Source organism: Homo sapiens, chromosome 12, assembly GCF_000001405.40.
Source record: "Homo sapiens chromosome 12, GRCh38.p14 Primary Assembly".
Taxonomy (NCBI): Eukaryota; Metazoa; Chordata; class Mammalia; order Primates; family Hominidae; genus Homo; species Homo sapiens.
The window spans coordinates 7,829,149-7,850,135 of NC_000012.12; the positions used below are offsets into that span (position 1 = coordinate 7,829,149).

A 20,987-nucleotide genomic window follows, 5' to 3' on the forward strand; every position below is an offset into this window, starting at 1 on the left:
TTGCAGTGAGCCGAGATCGCGCCACTGCCCTCCAGACTGGGCGACAGAGTGAGACTCCGTCTCAGAAACAAAACAAAACAAAAGTTCAGAAAATCATACATTATTTTACCATTGAAAAAAATTTAAAAATTGCCGGGCACAGTGGCTCACACCTATAACCCAGAATTTTGGGAGGCCGAGGCGGGTGGATCACCTGAGGTCAGGAGTTTGAGAAAAGCCTGGCCAACATGGTGAAATCCTGTCTCTACTAAAAATACAAAAATTAGCTGGACGTGGTGGTGCACACCTGTAATCCCAGCTACTCGGGAGGCTGAGGCATGAGAATCACTTTAACCCAGGAGGCAGAGGTTGGGCCGAGATCATTCCACTGCACTCCAGCCTGGGTGACAGAGTGAAACTCCCTCTCAAAAAAAAAAAAAGAAAAAGAAAAAAGGAAAAAAGAAATTGTGCTTCTTTTCCTTTCTCTACTCAACCTGCTTCTTCAGCTACTATCTATTATCTAAAACTTCCATATGTAATTGAACATGTGCCAGATATTCTTCAGTGCTTTACCTATGTTAACTTTTTTAATGACCCATGAAACTAACACTCATTAAGTATGAGAAGTTCTAGAGTACCTGGGCCACCAGAATTCCAATAACTATGCCCAGCTGGTTGAGAGTGCCAAAGGCACCCCTCAGGGCAGTAGGCGAGATCTCTCCAATGTACATGGGCACAAAACCTGTGCAGAGTCCGCAGAAGAGGCCAATAACCAAGCGGCCCAGGATCAGCATTTCAACTGACTCAGCTATTTTACACAGTCCCATAAGGCAGCCACCAGTGGCAGCCAACAGGTTGACAATCAGCATTGAATTGCGCCTGTAAGGTTAATCAAAGACAACATGGAATTAGCAAAGTGAGAGGCTCCTAACTTCTCCTCTTCTGTACTCATTATTCTGCTCTTCTCCAGGCTTATATCAACTCCTTTTTTGGTCTAACTTTTCTTTTTCACTTTCTTTTCTTTTCTTTCTTTTTTTTTTTTTGAGACAGAGTCTCGCTCTGTTGCCCAGGCTGGAGTGCAGTGGCGCGATCTCCGCTCACTGCAACCTCTGACTCCCAGGTTCAAGCAATTCTCTGCCTCATACTCCCGAGTAGCTGGGATAACAGGCGCCTGCCACCATGCCTGGCTAATTTTTTTGTATTTTAGTAGAGATGGGGTTTCACCATCTTGACCAGGCTGGTCTTTAACTCCTGACCTCATGATCCACCCACCTCGGCCTCCCAAAGTGTTGGGATTGCAGGTGTGAGCCACCACGCCCAGCCCTTTTTTACTTTCTATTATCAGAACGTTTCTAGTTGGGAGCCAGGCATGATGGTGCCCACTGGTAGTCCCAGCTACTCAGGGAGCTGAGGTGTGAGGATTGCTTGAGACTGGGAGGTCGAGGCTATAGTGAGCTATGATTGGGCCACTGCACTCCAGCCTGGGTGACAGAGCAAGACCCTGCTTCTTGGGCAGAGGGAGGGCAGAGGGGGAAGAACATTAGCAAGTAAAATAGGTTGCCTTATCAATTTTTAAATGTGAATTACATTCTTGCATTTCTAGAATATCTAATTGGCAAATTAAAACAGTTCCTTTGTCAGTCATAACTGAAAATATATTCTACCTTCTAAAATAGATTACTAAGCTAGTATAAAATAAGAAGATTCAGTTTTCAGCCAGGCACAGTGGCTCATGCCTGTAAGCTTAGCACTTTAGGAGGCTGAGGTGGGCGGATCACGTAAGGTCAGGAGTTCGAGACTAGCATGGCCAATATGGTGAAACCCCATCTCTACTAAAAATACAAAAATTAGCCGAGCGTGGTGGCGGGCACCTGTAATCCCAGCTACTTGGGAGGCTGAGGCAGGATAATTACTTGAACCCGGGAGGCAGAGGTTGCAGTGAGCTGAGATTGCACCATTGCACTCCAGCCTAGGTGACAAGAGCAAGACTCCATCTCAAAAAAAAAAAAAAAGACGATTCAGTTTTCTTTTTTTGGCCATTATCCACATTTGCCATAGACTAAAGATAATTCCTACCAATCCTGTGTAGAGGTAACAAAAACATTTATATGAGACCCCAGTTTTGTTTTTTTTTTTTTTGAGAAAAGTAATCAACTTTGGACCTTGTAAATTAAGTATGTTCCTGGAAACCCCATAGTTGAGCTTACTAGGGAATAATTCTGAACTATCCCTAACTGGACTGCAAAGGCCAATCACTCACACAGTTCATCTCTTGCACAGCTGGGTGGGAGCTCTCCAGGGTAGTAGAGCTCCAAGCAAGGGCAGTCATATTCGGGGCCAGTTGGGCTAGTTTCCCTTGATTAGAATTCAAGGTGTTCTTATTCAAAGGCATCATCACCTCCCTGCCCTAACTCTCCACACTTGTCCCCAATGCATCTGGTAGAGCCCACTTCCTTGCCCAGTTTCTAGTCAATACCTGCCAAAGCGGTTAACAAAGAGTCCGACGGAAAAGGAGCCGATCATACCCCCGACGGAAAATATGGCCACAGACAAGGACCAGAGATTCGTGAGCAGCACCTCAGAGGGAGGGGCATTTGCCTTGTCCGTCAAAGTTTTATTGATAAATTCCTTTATGATCTGCAAAATAAAAGGTGGGAGGACAGACTATTACAGTTGGATGAGAACAAAAGATACAAATATGCTGGGTGCAGTGGCTCACGCCTGTAATCCCAGCACTTTGGAAGGCCGAGGCGGGTGGATCACCTGAGGTCAGGAGTTGCAGACCAACCTGACCAACATGGTGAAACCCCGTCTCTACTAAAAATACAAAATTAGCCAGTTGTGGTGGCGCATGCCTGTAATCCCAGCTACTCGGGAGGCTGAGGTAGGAGAATCGCTTGAACCCGTGGGGCGGAGTTTGCGATGAGCCGAGATAGCGCCATTGCACTCCGGCCTGGGTGACAGAGCGAGACTACATCTCAAAACAAACAAACAAACAAAACAAATATTAGGGATCATTTCCTCCCTAGAGAATCAAGGGAATAAATAGACGGGAATTGAAGAGGCAGATAACATATTGGAATTAATGTTAACTCTCCCTGGAATAGTAATTTTTCATTTGTCCTGAATATCCCAGTAGGTGGCAGCACTGATGTTCACCCCAGCCCTCTGCTAAGCGAACCTGGCCAGCTTGGTAACTAACCCCTAAGGGATAATACAGGAAGTGTATTACTATAGGGTGAAAGAGTGGGAGGAAGAACAGCACTGCCCAGGGTATAAGGAGTAAATGACCTTTTTCCTTTGATTAAATGACCCCACTAATTTTCCCCACCAATATTGTCTCCATCTTCAGTCTTGGACAGGATAGATACAAAGTTTAATTCCCCTAGTTGGGGGAGGGACCCTCACTAACTGTGTTGCTCAGGATGGTGTTTAACTCCTGGGCTCAAGTGATCTTTAAGCCTCAGCCTCCGGAGTAGCTGGGACTCCAGGCAGGTGCCACCATGCCTGGCCTTAAATTCTGAATTCTTGAAACCCTACTTAAAGGAATAATTTCCCTATTCCAGATTCTAATTCTTGTGGCCTGGCACTCACCGTCTCAGGAGCATTGATGACCCCAGTGTTGTAGCCAAACTGGAAAGAGCCGATTGTAGCAACTGTGATGGCAAAGATCAGAGCTGGGGTGACCTGGAGAGACAGAGGACAGGGAGGAGAGAATAGTCCTTAAAACTTGTAATTGATGACTGTTTCTTATTAATTATGGAGCTGTATTAGGAGAATCTGACCTATGAGTGGTATGAAAAGGACAAACATCAAACGAGATTTAGGTAATTAATCGGGAAGACAAAGTAATAGATTATACTAAAGAACTTATCTGGAGATAAGAATGTGAAGTTAACTTGGTAAAAGTGGAAAAGAAAATTGGAGAAGGAAGAAGTTAAGAGAAACTGGGTTGGTCAGTTTGGAAATATTTAAAAACCTGCATCAGGTGAAGGTAGGCATAGAATTCCACTCACGAACTGGGAGGAAAGAGGACAACACAGCCTTGGGTAGGATTACTAAGAATTGATCATTTTGGAAACAAATACAGTGCAGTCTGATCTGTACCCCAGACTCCACGGAAGCCCAGTGGTGGTGGTAGGGGGAGGTGGTAGTAGTTTGTGTCTTCACTGCTGGGTGGCTCTTTGAGTCTCTTATCTCTCAGGACCATGTAACCTACTGGATCTACTCACTGCATCCTGGCCCCATTTCAGTCTTCTGGTTTATTAAATACTGTTCTGCTATCCCTAACCTAACCCCCGGGTGGGGGAAGAAAGAACACTCGGCTCACTACAAACCTAACAAATAAGACATTTCTGGCCGGGCACGGTGGCTCATGCCTGTCATCCCAGCACTTTGGGAGGCCAAGGCAGGTGGGCCAAGGCAGGTGGATCACCTGAGATCAGGAGTTCGAGACCAGCCTGGCCAACATGGTGAAACCCCATCTCTACTAAAAATACAAAAATTAGCAGGGCATGGTGGGGTGTGCCTGTAATCCCAGCTACTAGGAGGGGCTGAAGCAGGAGGATCGCTTGACCCTGAGAGGCGGAGGTTGCAGTGAGCCGAGACCGTGCCACTGCACTCCAACCTGGGCAACAGAGCAAGACTCTGTCTCAAAAAAAAAAAAAAAGAGAGAGAGAGACATTTCTTAGTGGGGAGAACCAGTCGTCTTCACCTTGCCTGGAATAATTCAGCTGGGCAAGTGGATATTATTTTAGATTTCCACCTTGGGGCAGCTCAATTTCTATACCTGAAGCCATCTTCTATGTCCTTTCCCGCACCCCCACCAATCCCTTCAACCTTTCCTATCTTAAATTCCTTTCCTTTCAGGTCAGACAGGGTAGACCACAGGCTGAAAGCTTCAGTAGAACTGACCTTGCCTGCGGCCTCTCAGATGTCTCAGTCACAACTAAGCATCGATACCCTGGAGGGCCCTGCCAGTACAATGCTCTCTGTTAAATCTTTTTCTTTTTAGTAAAAGTCCTTTCTTTCTCCTCTCATCATTCACTATCTTTGAGAGCCTTTTTTTTTTCATTAGTCTCATAACTTTCCATCCCTTCTCTTATTTTCCTTCATTTTCTTTCTTTTTTGTAGAGATGGGATCTCACTGTATTGCCCAAGGCTGGTCTCAAACTCCCAGCCTCAAGTGATCCTCATGCCTTAGCTCCCAAATGCTGGGATTATTTTTAAAGGTTACAATTGGAATTAAACTGAGTCTTGAGAATCTAAAAAATGTGTTGACCTGGGCACAGTGGCTCACATCTATAATCCCAGCCCTTTGGGAGGTCGAGGCAGAAGGATCACTTGAGCCTAGCAGTTTGAGAGACCAGCCTGGACAACACAGTGAGACCCCTTCTCTCTCTCTTTTTTTTTTTTTTTTGAGACCCCTTCTCTATCAAAAAAAAAAAAAAAATTAGCTGGGTATGGTAATGGCAGGTGCCTATAGACCCAGCTACTTGGGAGGCTGGGGTGGGAGGATCACTTGAGCCCAGGAGATAGAAGCTGCAGTGAGCTATGCAGCCTGGGCAACAGAGTGAGACCCTGCCTCAAAAAAGAAAAAAAAAGTGTGTTGAGCATATTGAGACAAGTGTTCCTTGGGCAAATGGCACCTAGGAGGAACCTGATGCTCAAAAACCAGTTCTGCACTGGGCTGGCCCCCAAAGCAACAGAGATGTCCAAGCTTAGATAGTCCTTCACCCTGGCCACTAGAGAAGAGTTGCTCAATATAACTGTTTGTTGATGTGCTTCGAGAGACTGGTTGGTTGAGCTGGGTCTTCAGTGTACTTTGGGAGGAGCCTGGCTCAGTCACAGTCACAGCTCTGGTGATGAGGCATGAGGGATTAAGTATGTCAGGATGGGCCAGTGAGGCTAGCTGCCCTCAGACACCTATGCTGTGTCATTTGATTCCTTTTGAAATCTTTCTGTAGCTCTATTAAAAAAAAAAAAAAAGAGGAAATGTGAGGTGCGATGGGTAAATTTCAAAACAGAGTAAGTTAGTGAGAATGTTATAAAATTTACACCTACAGCCTGACCAGTATGGTGAAAGCCCGTCTCTACTAAAAATACAAAAATTAGCCAGCCGTGATGGCGTGCGCCTGTAGTCCCAGCTACTCAGGAGACTGAGACAGGAGAATTGCTTGAAACTGGGAGGCAGAGGTTGCAGTCAGCCGAGATTGCGTCACTGCACTCCAGCCTGGGTGCCAGCGAGACTGTCTCAAACAAACAAACAAACAAAATTTACACCTAATACTTTAATGTAGGTCTGCCTAGAAAAAAAGGAATGAATAGAATAATTGTCTGAGGTCGCTTAGTTCCAGATGCAGTTATCTGCAGAATGTAAATTTCAATTCTAGAATCTAAATCTGCAGAATGTAAATCTCAATCCTAGAATCTAAATCTGCAGAATGTAAATCTCAATCCTAGTTTCATGCAGCTTTGTGGGATGGGTGCTTGCTAGTATGATAACCAGGTGGAAAACAAACATAAAATCTAAAGTCAGGGAACACAAGCCTTTAAACGCATTGAGGTAAAGACAGGGAAAACTGTCTCTTTCATAAAACAATGTAAATGGCATTTCAAGACACACACAAAAAGCTAGTAACTGCTCTAAAACTTTGCTTGCATCTGTAATAGTCCTCATAAAGAACGACTTTTGTTAAAGCAACTTTTTAATCTTCCTTTGTTAGGTTAGTGTAGGCAGAGTTCACTTTGAATTTGATAACACTGTAGAAAATAAGTCCTCAGGATTAAGAAAGAAAACATTTGAGAAATGTTGATTTTCCTGTCTAAACTGGGTTTAAATCATCCATCCATCACTCCCGTTGATCCTGAAGGGCCTAATCCCAGCTCTCAGGCCTGTCCCACTTTCACGAAGGTCTTCCTTCCTCTTTCCTCTCCCTTCTTCAAAAATGAATCCGTTCCACATCAGGGCTAGGTGAATTATCCTAAATCAAAATTTGAATCGTGTCAGAGTCCTACTCAAATATCTTCAATGATTATTGAATAAAGCCTGGCCAGTACTGTCCAATACAAATATAATGTGAGCCACAGATATAACTTTTTTTTTTTTTTTGAGACGCAGTCTCACTTGGTCACCCAGGCTGGTGTGCAGTGGCATGATCTCAGCTCACTGCAACCTCTGCCTCCCCGGTTCAAGCAGTTCTCCTGCCTCAGCCTCCTGAGTAGCTGGGACTACAAGCGTGTGCCACCACGCCCAGCTAATTTTTTGTATTTTTAGTAGAGACAGGGTTTCATCATGTTAGCCAGGCTGGTCTCGAACTCCTGACCTTGTGATCTGCCTGTCTCGGCCTCCCAAACTGCTGGGATTACAGGCGTGAGCCACTGAGCCCAGCCCAACCACAGATGTAATTAAAAATTTTTCTGCTGGGTATGGTGGCTCACACCTGTAAGCCCAGCACTTTGGGAGGCTGAGGAGGGCGGATGGATCACTTCAGTTCAGGAATTCAATACCAGCCTGGCCAATATCACCAATCCCCATCTCTACTAAAGACACAAAAAAATTAGCCAGGCGTGGTGGCACACGCCTGTAATCCCAGCTATTTGGGAGCCTGAGGCACCAGAATCACTTGAACCCGGGAGGCGGACATTACAGTGAGCCTAGATCATGCCACTGCACACCAGCCTGGGTGACCAAGTGTTCAATTTTACAAAAAAAAGAAAATTTCAGTAGCCACATTAAAAAAATAAAAAGAAACATATTGGCCAGGCACCGTGGCTCATGCCTATAATCCCAGCATTTTAGGAGGCTGAGGCAGGTGGATCACAAGATCAGGAGTTCAAGACCAGCCGGGCCAATATAGTGAAACCCCATCTCTAATAAAAATACAAAAATTATCCGAGCATGGTGGCACATGCCTGTAATCCCAGCTATTCGGGAGGCTGAGGCAAGAGAATCGCTTGAACCTGGGAGGCAGAGGTTACAGTGAGCCAAAATCACGCCACTGCACTCCACCCTGGGTGACAGAGTGAGACTCCATCTCAAAAAAAAAAAAAAGTTAACGTGTTAACTAACTTGTGGTAATAATTTCACAATATACATGTATATCAAAACATCATGTGCACATACTTTAAATGTATACAATTTTATTTGTCAATTATACTTCAGTGAAGCTGAAAAGATATTTTAAAAACTGTAATAAAATAAATGTAAGATAAAGTAATAAAAGATGGTTAACATGGGCCAGGCGCAGTGGCTCACACTTGTAATCTTTGGGAGGCCAAGGCAGGAGGATCACCTGAAGTTGGGAGTTCAAGACCAGCCTGACCAACATGGAGAAACAACATCTCTACTAAAAATACAAAACTAGCCAGCCATAGTGGCGCAAGCCTGTAATCCCAGCTACTTTGGAGGCTGAGGCAAGAGAATCTCTTGAACCTGGGGGCGGAGGTTGCAGTCAGCCGAGCTTGCACCATTGCACTCCAACTTGGGCAACAAGAGTGAAACTTCGTCTCAAAAAAAAAAAAAAAAAAGATGGTTCACATGGTAACCATTTTTCTTCTTTTTTTTTTTTTGAGATGAAGTCTCACTCTGGCTGGGATTACTGGCATACACCACCACGACTGGCTAATTTTTTATTTTTATTTTTTTCGAGATGGAGTCTCACTCTGTTGTCCAGGCTAGAGTGCAGTAGCACAGTCTTGGCTCACTGCAACCTCCACCTCCTGCGTTCAAGCAATTCTCCTGTCTCAGCCTCCCAAATAGCTGGGACTACAGGTGCACGCCACCACGCCTGGTTAATTGTTGTGTTTTTAGTAGAGGTGGGGTTTTACCATATTGGTCAGTCTGGTCTTGAATTCCTGACCTCAGATGATCCACCCACCTCGGCCTCCCAAAGTGCTGGGATTATAGGTGTGAGCCACCATGCCCAGCCTACCTTTTTTGTTGTTGTTATGTGTTTTTACCACAATTTTTTTTTTTCGAGACAGAATCTCGCTCTGTCACCCATGCAGGAGTGCAGTGCCGAGATCTTGGCTTACTGCAACCTCCACCTCCCACGTTCAAGTGATTCTCCTGCCTCAGCCTCCAGAGTAGCTGGGACTACAGGCGCCTGCCACCATGCCTGGTTAATTTCTGCATTTTTAGTAGAGACAGGGTTTCACCATATTGGCCAGGCTGGTCTTGAACTCCTGACCTTGCGATCCACCTGCCTCGGCCTCCCAAAGTGCTGGGATTACAGGTGTGAGCCAACGTGCCCGGTCCACAATTTTTTTTAAAAAATGGAATTTGCCTTACTAGAATTTTGAACTTGGAAGACCAGGTACCCCTTTCTTCTTTCTTATTTCCCCCATTTCCCCCTTTTGCAATGGGAATGTCTAGCCTATGCCTGTCCCACAATTATATTATGAAAGCACATAACTTGTCTGGTTTCCCAGGCTCAGTTTGGAAAAAAATTTGCCTCAGGATTAATCATACCTCTTTTCTCACCCATACCAAATTTAGATGATATTCAGATGAAATTTTGGATTTGGAACTCATGCTGGAATGGGTTAAGACTTTAGGGCCTACAGGGATAGAGATAAATGTATTTTGGATGTGAGGACATACATTTTGGGGGGCCAGAGGGCAAAGTGTTATGGACTAAATTGTGTCCTAAAATTCATATGTTGAAGCCCTAACCCCTAGTAACTTAGAATGGAACTGTATTTGGAGATGGAGCCTTTAAGGAGGTAATTAAGATTACATGAAGTCACTAGGGTGGGGCTCTAGTCCAATAGGACAGGTGTCCTTATGAGAAGAGGAAGAGGCATTAGGCCTGTGAATAGAGAAAAGGCCATGTGAAGACACTGAGAAGACAGCCATCTGCTACTGAAGGGAGAGGTCTCAGGAGAAACTAAGCCTGCTGGCACCTTGATCTTGGATGTCCAGCATCTAGAACTTTGAGAAAACAAATTCCTGTTGTTTAAGCCACCTGTTTGTGGTATTTTGTTATGGCAGCCTTAGCAGACAATAAATATATACTGTCAAGTAATAAGGGAGCATTTTGAAGAAGAAAATATCAAGGTAAGGCGATAAAGGGTTGGGGCTGGGGAAGATTAAGATAGAGTGGTTAGGGTTCCTCTCTCAGTAGAGATGATACTTGCACAGAAACCTGAATCACACGAGAAAGTCAACCTTGGGAGTATCTGAAAACAGCATTTCAAACAGAAGGCATTTCAAACGCAGACACCAAAAGGAGGACTCGTGCTTGGCAGGGTGTCAAAAGGCGGATTTGGCAGGAGTGGAGTGAAGCGGGGGCAGAGTGGCAGGAGAAATGATGTTGAAGACAGCTAGGAGTCTGCTCATGCAGGACGCTGTAAGCAGTCATGAACGTTCTGGTTTATATTCCGAATGTGACAGACAGCCAGGAAGCTACGAAGCCATTTTAGTTTTTTGAGCAGAAGCATGACATCAGTTGATTCGTGTTTTTAAAAAAGTATGTGCTGTTGAATGGAGAAGATGCTGAAGGAGGGTGCTGTGGTTTAAATGTGTGTTCCCTCCAAAATTAATGCAGAAACTTAATCCTAATTGTAGTGATATTAAGAGGCAGGACCTTTTGGGAAGTGACTGAGTCATGAGGGCTCTGCCTCCATGGAGGGAGTAATACCCATACAGAAGGGGCTTCGGAGGCCAGGCTCGATGGCTCATGCCTGTAATCTCAGCACTTTTGGAGGTCAAGGCGGGAGGATCGCTTGAGTCCAGGAGTTCTTATTTCCCCCTTTTGGACCAGCCTGGGCGACACAAGGAGACCCTGTCTCTACAAAAAAAAAAAAAAAAAAAAAAAAAAAAATACAAAAAATTAGTGAGGCATGGTGGTTTGCACTTGTAGTCCCAGCTACTCGGGTGGCTGAGGTGGGAGGATCACTTGAGCCCGGGAGGTCAAGCCTGCAGTGAGCTATGATTGCACCACTGAACTCCAGCCTGGGAGACAGAGCCAGACCCTGTCTCAAAAAAAAAAAAAAAAAGTGCGGTGGGGGGACTTCAGAGAGTTTGCTCCTTTTTTTTTTTTTTTTTTTTTTTTTTGCCCTTCTGCCTTCCACCATGTGAGGACACATCACTCGTCCCCCTAATGAGGACGGAGCAACAGTCGCCATCTTAGAAGCAGAGAGCTGCCCTCACCAAACATCAAACCTGCGGGTACCTTGAACTTCCCAGCATTCAGAACTGTGAGAAATACATTTCTACTGTTTATAGATTACTCAGTTTTGTTTTTGTTTTTGTTTTTGTTTTTTTGAGACAGAATTTCGCTCTTGTCGCCTAGTCTGGAGTGCAATGGCGTGATTTCGGCTCACTGCAACCTCCGCCTCCTGGGTTCAAGCGATTCTCCTGCCTCAGCCTCCAGAGTAGCTGGGACTACAGGCACCCGCCACCACACCCACACCCAGCTAATTTTTGTATTTTTAGTAGAGACAGGGTTTCACCATGTTGGTCAGGCTGGTCTCAAACTCCTAACCTCAGGTGATCCGCCCACCTGGGCCTCCCAAGGTGCTGGGATTACGGGCGTGAGGCACTGCGCCTTGCCTGTGTTGTTTTGTTATAGCAGCATGAACAAACTTAGACAGAGGGTAGGGATAGGAGCATAGAGTGGGTTGCTGTTGGATTTGAAATATATTTTCAAGGTGCAACCTACTGGCGGTCTAGACGTTGAGCACAAAAGAAAAAAAGGAGTCAAGAATGATCCTAAAGGTTTTGGCTGGAGCAACTGGAGAACTGGAGTTGCCATTTACCTCAGTCAGGAAAGCAGACAGAGACCTGAGGGTCAAATCAAGACTTTTATTTTAGATGCGCTAAGTCGGCGATGATGCTAGGGTAATGCACTAAAAATAGTGTTCCCTTTCTCTTTCATCCCAGAGGCCGGGAACATAAAGATAAAAAACATGTTCCTCCCTTTAAGTTCTCATGGTGGTGAAGCGGATGGAGAGAGACATATAAACAAGTGTTTCGCTTTGTTTTTTAATTAATAGGATTTATTGGGGGTGGGCAGTTTTAGGTTTACAGAAAAATTGAGCAGAAAGTACACAGAGTTCCCATGTACTCCCTTAACACCCCTAATACTAACATTTGCATTAGTGTGATACATCTCTTATATTATTATCATTATTATTTATTGTTATTATTTTTTTCTTGCACTCTGTCACCCAGGCTGGAGTTCAGTGCCATGATCTCGGCTCACTGCAACCTCCACCTCCCACGTTTAAGCGATTCTCCTGCCTCAGCCTCCCAAGCAGCTGGGATTACAGGCACCCATCACCATGCCCGGCTAATTTTTGTATTTTTAGTAGAGACGGGGTTTTGCCATGTTGGCCAGGCTGGTGTTGAACTCCTGACCTCAGAAGATCTGCCTGACTTGGCCTTCCAAAGTGCTAGGATTACAGGCGTGAGCCAGCTCGCCGAGCCACATCTGTCATGTTAATAATTGATGGGCTAATATTGATATATTATTATTACATAAAGTCCATAGTTTATATTCAAGTTCATTCTTTGTGTTGTATATTCTATAGGTTTGATAAATGTATGATATCATACGGAACAGCTTTACTGCCCTAAAAATCCCATGTTCCAGGCTGGGTGCAGTGGCTAACGCCTGTAATCCCAGAACTTTGGGAGGCCAAGGTGGGCAGATCACGAGGTCAGGAGTTCGACACCAGCCCAACCAACATGGTGAAACCCCATCTCTACTAAAAATATAAAATTAGCCGGGCGTAGTGGTGCATGCTTGTAATCCCAATTACTCAGGAGGCTGAGGCAGGAGAATTGACTGAACCCAGGAGGCAGAGGTTACAGTGAGCCGAGATTGCACCATTGCACTCCAGCCTGGGCAACAAGAGCGAAACTCTGTCTCAAAAGAAAAAAAAAAAAAAGATCCCATGTTCCACCTCCCTTCCCTACTCCTCCAACCCCTGGCAATCACTGATCTTTTTGCTGTCTTTTTGCATAGTTTTGCCTTTTCCAGAATGTCATACAGTTGGAGTCATACATTATGTAGCCTTTTCAGATTGGCTTATTTCACTTAGTGATATTCATTGAAGGTCCCTGCATGTCTTTTCGTGGCTCATTTCTTTTTATCACTGGATAATATTCCATTATTTGGATGCACCACAGTTTATCCCTTCACCTACTGAAGGACATCTTGGTAAGTTTTAGCAACTACGAATAAAACTGCTCTAAACATTCGTTTGCAGGTTTTCATGTAGATGCATGATTTCAACTCATTTATGTAAGTACCAAGGAGGGTGATTGCAGGATCACAGACAAGGGTTTTAAAAGTCATCTTCACTTGATCTTAGCCAAAAGGCCGAGAAGCGGGAAAAGACTTCTTCTATACAAGTGCCAATATATAAGCAACACAGATAATTGCTTGCATGAAGTGAAGACAGTTCTTTGAGTTCCTTAACTTTTCTCTAGCAGTGCTCTAAAGCTATAAATGTCCTTCTTTCTCTGTGTAGCTATCAGTGGGACACAATCACCAGGCTACCACCCCCCTCCCCCCACTCACAGGAAAACAGCTACATGATGACTGAAGTGCTTAGCTGACTCACATCTACTCTTTCTTTTTCTCTTTTTTTTTTTTTTGTTTTTTTTGTGATGGAGTTTCGCTCTTGTTGCCCAGGCTGGGGTGCAATGGTGCGATCTCGGCTCATCGCAACCTCCGCCTCCCGCGTTCAAGTGATTCTCCTGCCTCAGCCTCCCGAGTAGCTGTGATTACAGCCATGTGCCACCACACCCAGCTAATTTTATATTTTTAGTAGAGATAGGGTTTCTACATGTTGATCAGGCTGGTCTCGAACTCCCGACCTCAGGTGATCCGCCCGCCTCAGCCTCCCAAAGTGCTGGGATTACAGGTGTGAGCCACCGCGCCTGGCCACATAAATGTTTTAATATAGGCATGCAATGTAAAATAATCACCTCATGGAGAATGGGGTATCCATCTCCTCAAGCATTTATGCTTTGAGTTACCCCCTCATCTTTTTAGACCCTCAGACAACTTAGTCAGCTGACCAATCCTTCCTGAGAAATAAATGTTCTTTTTCACCCTTTTTTATGTCTTCCTGAGGAAGGCTGACGGTGAATGAAGCGCATTAGACTGAGAATAGCTGCTGAGTAGAAAGCCGGTGGGAAAACAGAGAATTTCCTGGAGGCATGGGAGGGGCACGCTGTAATGAGTGGGAATGTCACAGGCGCTGTTTCAAAAAGAGTGGATGAAAGCCTGAGAATGCGGCTGTAAAGGCTACTGGAAGGCTCCTCGGGCAGGGGACAGGATGTGAGCCCCTGGAATAGACTCATAAAAGAAAATGTTAGCACATACCATTGAATTCACTGAGACACATGAGAAAATATGGGAAAGTCGGAGAGTGGAAGAAAATGTAAAGACCCCCCTCCTCCCCAAAGAGTACGTTGTGTAGTGGGGTAGAGTGGAAAATCAATCCAAGAAAAGTAGCAAACGGACCCAAAGATGAAGAGGAAGAAAAGAAACAGCAACACGAAACGAAAAAAAAAGCCACCAGATTTGTTGCAACGTTGATGTAAACCTGGCCGTCTTCCTGAACCAGTGACCCAGGGTTTCCGCTTCCCTTTGCTGTCATCTTGCTCAAGTCTAGAAGCTGAAATATCATCATCAACTCGACATGAGGGGATAACCTCTGGATCCACTCATCAGATGCTCATCAGACGTTCCAATTACAAAACTGAACCTCTTCTTAGTGCTGGGGCGGTTAGAATGCAAACATTTCAAGAAAAAAACACATTGTTTTCTAGTGGTGATAGAATTGAGGGTGAGTTCTTCCTTCCTTTATTGTTGTCTTTTCTTTTATTTTTTTCTACTTTACTGAAGGGCACATGCAATAAAGCAGATAAAAATGCACTAATCTGGAGTTTACAGTTGGGTGAATATTTATATCTGTATTCACAGGCATAACCATTAACCAGATCAAGATCTAGATTCTTTAACATTTCTTGCTCCTCAAAAAGTTTCCTAGTGCTGGTTCCAGTCTATAGCCTCCTTCTCCAGAAGAAATTGCTATTTTTACTTCCGCCATCATCAATGAATTTTGTTGTTCTTGACCTTTAAATGGAACCATACAGTATGTACTCTTTTGTGCTCAGATGTTTTTTCACTGAGCATCGTGTCTACGAGTACTATGTGGTGGTGTTGGTAGTTCATTCCTTCTTACTGCTGAGTAGTATTCCACTTTTGGCTATGACAACATTTACTTATCTATTCTCCCACTGATGTATGCATCATTGTTTCCAGTTCGAGCTATTATAAACATTCCTGATATTTGCTGAATGTATGAATTCTTTTCTCTCGATTGTATACTTGTTGTATGCTTAGGAATGAGATTGCTGGGTTGCTATTTTTTGCCAGTAAATAGTAAACTCCTTTTTTTTTTTTAGACAGGGTCTCACTCTGTCACCCAGGCTGGAGTTCAGTGGCACAATCTCGGCTCATTGCAGCCTCCACCTCCCAGGTTCAAGCAGTTTTCGTGCCTCAGCCTCCCGAGTAGCTGGGATTACAGGCAAATGCCACCACATCCAGCTAATTTTTACATTTTTAGTAAAGAGGGGTTTCACCATATTGGCCAGGCTGGTCTCGAACCCCTGACTTCAGCTGATCCACCCGCCTTGGCCTCCCAAAGTGCTGGGATTACAGGTGTGAGCCACCGCACCGGGCTGTAAATCGTAAATTCTAAGCAAAAACAAGTGAGCTACATCTTTGTCTTAATATGTATATGGTATTTTAATAATCTTTTTATCCATTATTTCAATTGATCCTCAAAACTTTTGTGGTAAGTAAGTAAAGTAGTTAACATTATCACCATTTTATAGGTGCAAAAACTGAAAGAGAATTTAAATGATCAATTTAAGGTCAGAATATTAATAAGTTGTGAATTACGACTAGAAACTGCATTTTCTGATCCCTAGCCACGTTCATTTTTCCTTATACATTCTTTCTATTTCACTAGCCTCGTGAATGGAGAGGTCACCCAATCATCCCGTTTGCCCAGGACTATCTCAGTTTTAGCACTGAAAGTACCTGGGCAAACCTCTATGGTTGGTCATTTTACAAAACAAAGAAAGGGGTCAATGGATATCACAGCTTGCAAATGGCAGAGAAAAACAAAACCAACTTGATTTAGTCTATTCATGCTCCTCCATTCCCAAAGGAAAGTTATTTTTAATCAAGGAACAATAAAATAACCACACATTTATGTACTATGTATGTCAACTGTATTGCTTGACTTCGGAAATCATCTAGACTAGTGCTACTCAAATTGTGGTCCGGGGACCAGCAACATCAGAATCTCCCAGGATCCTGTTAGAAATGCAAACTCAAGGCCAGGCGTGGTGGCTTACGCCTGTAATCCCAGTACTTTGGGAGGCCGAGGCGGGTGGATCATGAGGTCAGTAGATTGAGACCATCCTGCCTAACATGGTGAAACCCCATCTCTACTACAAATACAAAAAATTAGCCGGGCGTGGTGGCAGGCGCCTGTAGTCCCAGCTACTTGGGAGGCTGAGGCAGGAGAATGGCATGAACCCGGGAGGCAGAGCTTGCAGTGAGCTGAGATCGCGCCACTGCACTCCAGCCTGGGCGACACAGCGAGACTCCATCTCAAAAAAAAAAAAAAAAGAAATGCAAACTCAAGGCCAGGCGTGGTGGCTCACGCCTGTAATCGCAGCACTTTGGGATGCCAAGGCGGGTGGATTTCCTGATCTGAGGAGTTTGAGACCAGTGGGGGCAACCTGGCAAAACCCCATCTCTATCAAAAATACAAAAAATTAGCTGGGCGTGGTGGTGCATGCCTGTAAACCCAGCTACCCAGGAAGCTAAGGCAGAAGAATAGCTTGAGCCTGGGAGGTCGAGGCTGCAGAGAGCTGAGATGGTGCCACTGCACTCCAGCCAGGGTGACAAAGGGAGACCTTGTCTAAACAAAAAAAAGAAAGAAAGAAAGAAAAAGAACTAGAAATGCAAACTCAAGCCCCTCCTATCCCCCCAGACCTACAGAATCAGAATTACTGAGAGTAGAGCTCAGGAATTTGTGTCTAACCAGCTCTCCAGGTGGAGGTCAAAGGAAACGGTGGAAAAAGGAAGCTAAAGTTTGAGGGAAAACTGATCTAACCAATTTTATTTACAGATATTTGGATATTTATATAATTTAAAGATCTCTGAGCAGAATTATTCCATTGCTTTAACTCACTCAACAACCCTTCCCTACATGAAACAAATCTCATTATTGGTTAAAAAAAAAAAAAACTTTATCCTTATTAAATCTCTTATCTAACATTCTGGTCCTAAATAAGAGTGGATAATATCATTTCATGTTGGTTTTTTTCTTTATTGGTCTTTTTCTAAGGGCATTCCAAGTGTATTTCATGTATCACTTAAAGTATGGTGTCCAGAACTAATCTTAGTGAAAAAACTATAGTATATCAAAAGAAAGACCTTGTGGTTACAATGTGAATATTCATAATTTTTTTTTTTTTTGAGATGGAGTCTCGCTCTGTCACCCAGGCTGGAGTGTAATGGCGTGATCTTGGCTCACTCCAACCTCTGCCTCCTGGGTTCAAGCGATTCTCCTGCCTCAGCCTCTGGAGTAGCTGGGATTACAAGCGCCCGCCACTACACCCGCCTAATTTTTTTGTATTTTTAGTAGAGACAGGGTTTCACTGTGTTGGCCAGGCTGGTCTCGAACTCCTGACCTCATGATCCACCTGCCCTGGCCTCCCGAAGTGCTGGGATTACAGGTGTGAGCCACCACGTCTGGTCCTGAATATTCATAAATTTTAAAAGAAAATATACCTGTGGCGGCCGGGCGCAGTGGCCACACCTGTAATCCCAGCACTTTGGGAGGCCGAGGTGGGTGGATCACCTGAGGTTGGGAGTTCAAGGCCAGCCTGACCAACATAGAGAAACCCTGTCTCTACTAAAAATACAAAATTAACCAAGTGTGGTGGTGCATGCCTGTAATCCCAGCTACTCAGGAGGCTGAGGCAGGAGAATCACTTGAACCTGGGAGGCAGAGGTTGCAGTGACCCAAGATTGTGCCATTGCACTCCAGCCTGGGCACCAAGAGAGAAACTCTGTCTCAAAAAAGAAAAGAAAAGGAAAGAAAATATACATGTGGCTGATCTGAGTACAGTGGTGTTTGTACCACTGTACCAATTATGAATTTCTTTGTTCCTTTTCCACTCACACTGCTTCACTTGACTAGCTTTAAGAAGAAAAAAAGAACTATACATGTTTAAGAATCATGAGACCTAGAAACAAAGAAAGGAAGAATAGTTCATCTGAATCACAAGGAAGGGAAAACAGATGACAGGTTAATTTACAACAGAAAGGATTTGCTGAATGAGTTTTGCCAGCAGGGACTGGATTTGGGCTCCCAATTTGTGTTTTCTTAGGGTTTTGTGTAACTTGGCTGGTATCAGTCTTCATAGTTTCTCTGTACTCTGTTCTAGGACTCAATCCAAAAGGTCACCTTCCAGCTCCAATCTGGCTTCTCTTAGCCCATCTATTCTAGCTCTCTCTTTTCCTTCCCCTCATTCTTCCCCAGAGAGAGGTTGCTATGGGGATGTCATCATCATAGAAAGCCAGCTGGTAGAGAGAAGCAGTGACAGAAGCAGAAACAAAAGGGTGCAGAAAGAAAAATAAAAGACGAAGGTAAAAACAACAGGCGCAGACATAGGTGAGAATTGAGAGAGTCAAAAGAGGAACTACACAGGTGATAAAATGCCATCAACACATTTACTTCTAGAAATGGATGGAGGCATTGCCCACAGTTAGAGGAACACAGCAGAGGAACCAAGGCAACAGACACGAGCAAACCCAGGGACCTGAAATAGATGTAGAGACACAGGAGGAGAGAGACACGGTCAGATGACAAACCCAATTTGCAGGATTCTGCAGAAAGCAGCTGCAGACAGAATCTAGCTAAGCATAGAGACTGTTTCAAGGCAGCGTTTTATTTATCCTCATCTGCCTCCCTGAGTCATTTCTATTTCCAAGGAATGAAGCAGTGGGAGGTTATAAAGGGGTTACCTTCACTTCCTTATTGTTTTCCACTTTGTTTTCTTGCCTGTCATCTTCTGACGTGCACAGAAAGGAACCTCCCTAGGACAACCAAAAGCCAGGAATATGTCCCTTAGACACAGCTCTTATGTCTTGACTGTTCTCCTGCCATCTCTTCAATATTTGTATCTCAGATTGTCTTTTTTTTATTATTATTTTTTACAATTCCCTTTCTTGTTCTTTGTTTTTCTTTTTCCATTTACCCCAGGTAGCCACTAACTTAATGCTCCTTACGTCTATTCCATTCTCTTTTCCAGTCTCTATTACCTAGTCATCCTTGTCCCCGCCCATCCTAGCCACAAATTCTGCTTTTTCCAATTCCATTTTTTTTTTTTTTTGAGACAGAGTTTTTGCTCTTGTCGCCCAGGCTGGAGTGCAATGGCGCAGTCTCAGCTCACCGCAACCTCCACCTCCTGCGTTCAAGCAATTCTCCTGCCTCAGCCTCCCGAGTAGCTGGGATTACAGGTGCCCGCCACCATGCCCGGCTAATTTTTGTATTTTTAGTAGAGATGGGGTTTCACCATGTTGGCCAGGATGGTCTCGAACTCCTGACCTCAGGTGATCCACCCGCTTCGACCTCCCAAAGTGCTGGGATTACAAGCATGAGCCACCGCGCCCGGCCTCTTTTTTTTTCTTTTTTTGAGACAGAGTCTTGCTCTGTTTTCCAGGCTGGAGTGCAGTGGTGCGATCTGGGCTCACTGGACTCCGCTTCCCGGGTTCAAGTGATTCTCCTGCCTCAGCCTCCAAGTAGCTGGCATTACAGGAACCTGCCACCTCGCCCGGCTAATTTTTGTATTTTTAGTAGAGACAGGGTTTTGCCATGTTGGCCAGGCTGGTCTGGCACTCCTGACCTCAGGGTAGTCAGCCCACCTCCGTCTCCCAAAGTGCTGGGATTACTGGTCTGAGACACTGCGCCCGCTTTCACTGAGTTCTTATTTGGACCTCTCAATCTTCGGGCAAGATAACATCTTGATAAAAACATCCATACATTGGGCGTGGTGGCTCATGCCTGTAATCCCAGCACTTTGGAAGATCGAGGTGGGAGGATTGCTTGAGTCCAGGAGTTCAAGACCACCCTGGGCAACATGGCAAAACTTCATCTCTACAAACAATACAAATAATTAGCCAGGTGTGGTGGCGCCCACCTGTGGTCCTAGCTACTTGGGAGGCTGAAGTGGGAGGATCATTCAAGCTCTGGAGGTTGAGGTTGCAGTGAGCCATGATCATGCCACTACACTCTAGCCTGGGCAAGACAGCAAGACTGTTACACACATAAGTAAATCAAGAAAGAACAGCTTTCTAAACCCAGAAAGAATTGAATGAGCTTTTTTTTAAAGGTGATGAAAAAAATTAAAATGTATGTGGATATATATTGAAAAAGTCTGGGCTGGGTGCAGTGGCTCATGCCTGTAATCCCAGCAATTTGGGAGGCTGAGGCAGGCGGATCACGAGGTAGGGAAATGGAGACCAGCCTGGCCAACCTGGTAAAACCCCGTCTCTACTAAAAATGCAAAAAAAAATTAGCCGGGTGTGGCGGCGGGCACCTGTAGTCCCAGCTACTCGGGAGGCCTTGAGGCAGGAGAATCGCTTGAACCTGGGAGGTAGAGGTTGCAGTGAGCCGAGATCAGGGCACTGAACTCCAGCCTGGGTGACAGAGCGAGACTCCATCTCAAAAAAAAAAAAAAAAGGAAAAAGTCTACAAAATGCACAACACTCTGCTGTACGATGCAGGGAACCCAAAGTCCCTGACCTCAAAAGTTACAATGTGGTGCTGGAGGGGACAAGACAAGAAAGTGCTAAAAAAAAAAAAAAGAGCCAAGAATCACGAGATTTTATTCACGTGGAAACACCCAGAAAGGCTTCTTGAAGTTGGTATTTGGAAGGGATCTTGGAAGATGGGTA

General features: G+C 44.6%; 1 protein-coding gene across 6 annotated transcripts in view, besides 3 other annotated features; it reads right to left on the reverse strand.

Annotated features, from left to right (window-relative positions):
* Positions 1-20,987, reverse strand: part of SLC2A14 (solute carrier family 2 member 14) — a 78,683-nt gene that overhangs the window by 16,635 nt on the left and 41,061 nt on the right. For 5 of the 6 annotated variants that reach the window (NM_001286237.2, NM_153449.4, NM_001286234.2 and 2 more), the window contains 3 exons: positions 3,574-3,666; positions 2,456-2,616; positions 618-858 (listed from right to left, as the gene is read on the reverse strand). In NM_001286237.2, the coding sequence (NP_001273166.1) occupies positions 618-858; positions 2,456-2,616; positions 3,574-3,666 (495 nt within the window). The remainder of the gene's footprint in view (positions 1-617; positions 859-2,455; positions 2,617-3,573; positions 3,667-20,987) is intronic. The other variant, NM_001286236.2, reaches the window with a different exon arrangement.
* Positions 4,541-5,041: an enhancer, noted in NCBI's record as "H3K4me1 hESC enhancer chr12:7986285-7986785 (GRCh37/hg19 assembly coordinates)". NCBI's record gives its function as "activates a minimal SCP1, AML or CMV promoter by ChIP-STARR-seq in primed H9 embryonic stem cells {active_cell/tissue: H9 hESC(primed)}" and the evidence as "EXISTENCE:reporter gene assay evidence [ECO:0000049][PMID:30033119]".
* Positions 10,179-10,852: an enhancer, noted in NCBI's record as "H3K27ac-H3K4me1 hESC enhancer chr12:7991923-7992596 (GRCh37/hg19 assembly coordinates)". NCBI's record gives its function as "activates a minimal SCP1, AML or CMV promoter by ChIP-STARR-seq in primed H9 embryonic stem cells {active_cell/tissue: H9 hESC(primed)}" and the evidence as "EXISTENCE:reporter gene assay evidence [ECO:0000049][PMID:30033119]".
* Positions 13,122-14,006: an enhancer, noted in NCBI's record as "H3K27ac-H3K4me1 hESC enhancer chr12:7994866-7995750 (GRCh37/hg19 assembly coordinates)". NCBI's record gives its function as "activates a minimal SCP1, AML or CMV promoter by ChIP-STARR-seq in naive H9 embryonic stem cells {active_cell/tissue: H9 hESC(naive)}" and the evidence as "EXISTENCE:reporter gene assay evidence [ECO:0000049][PMID:30033119]".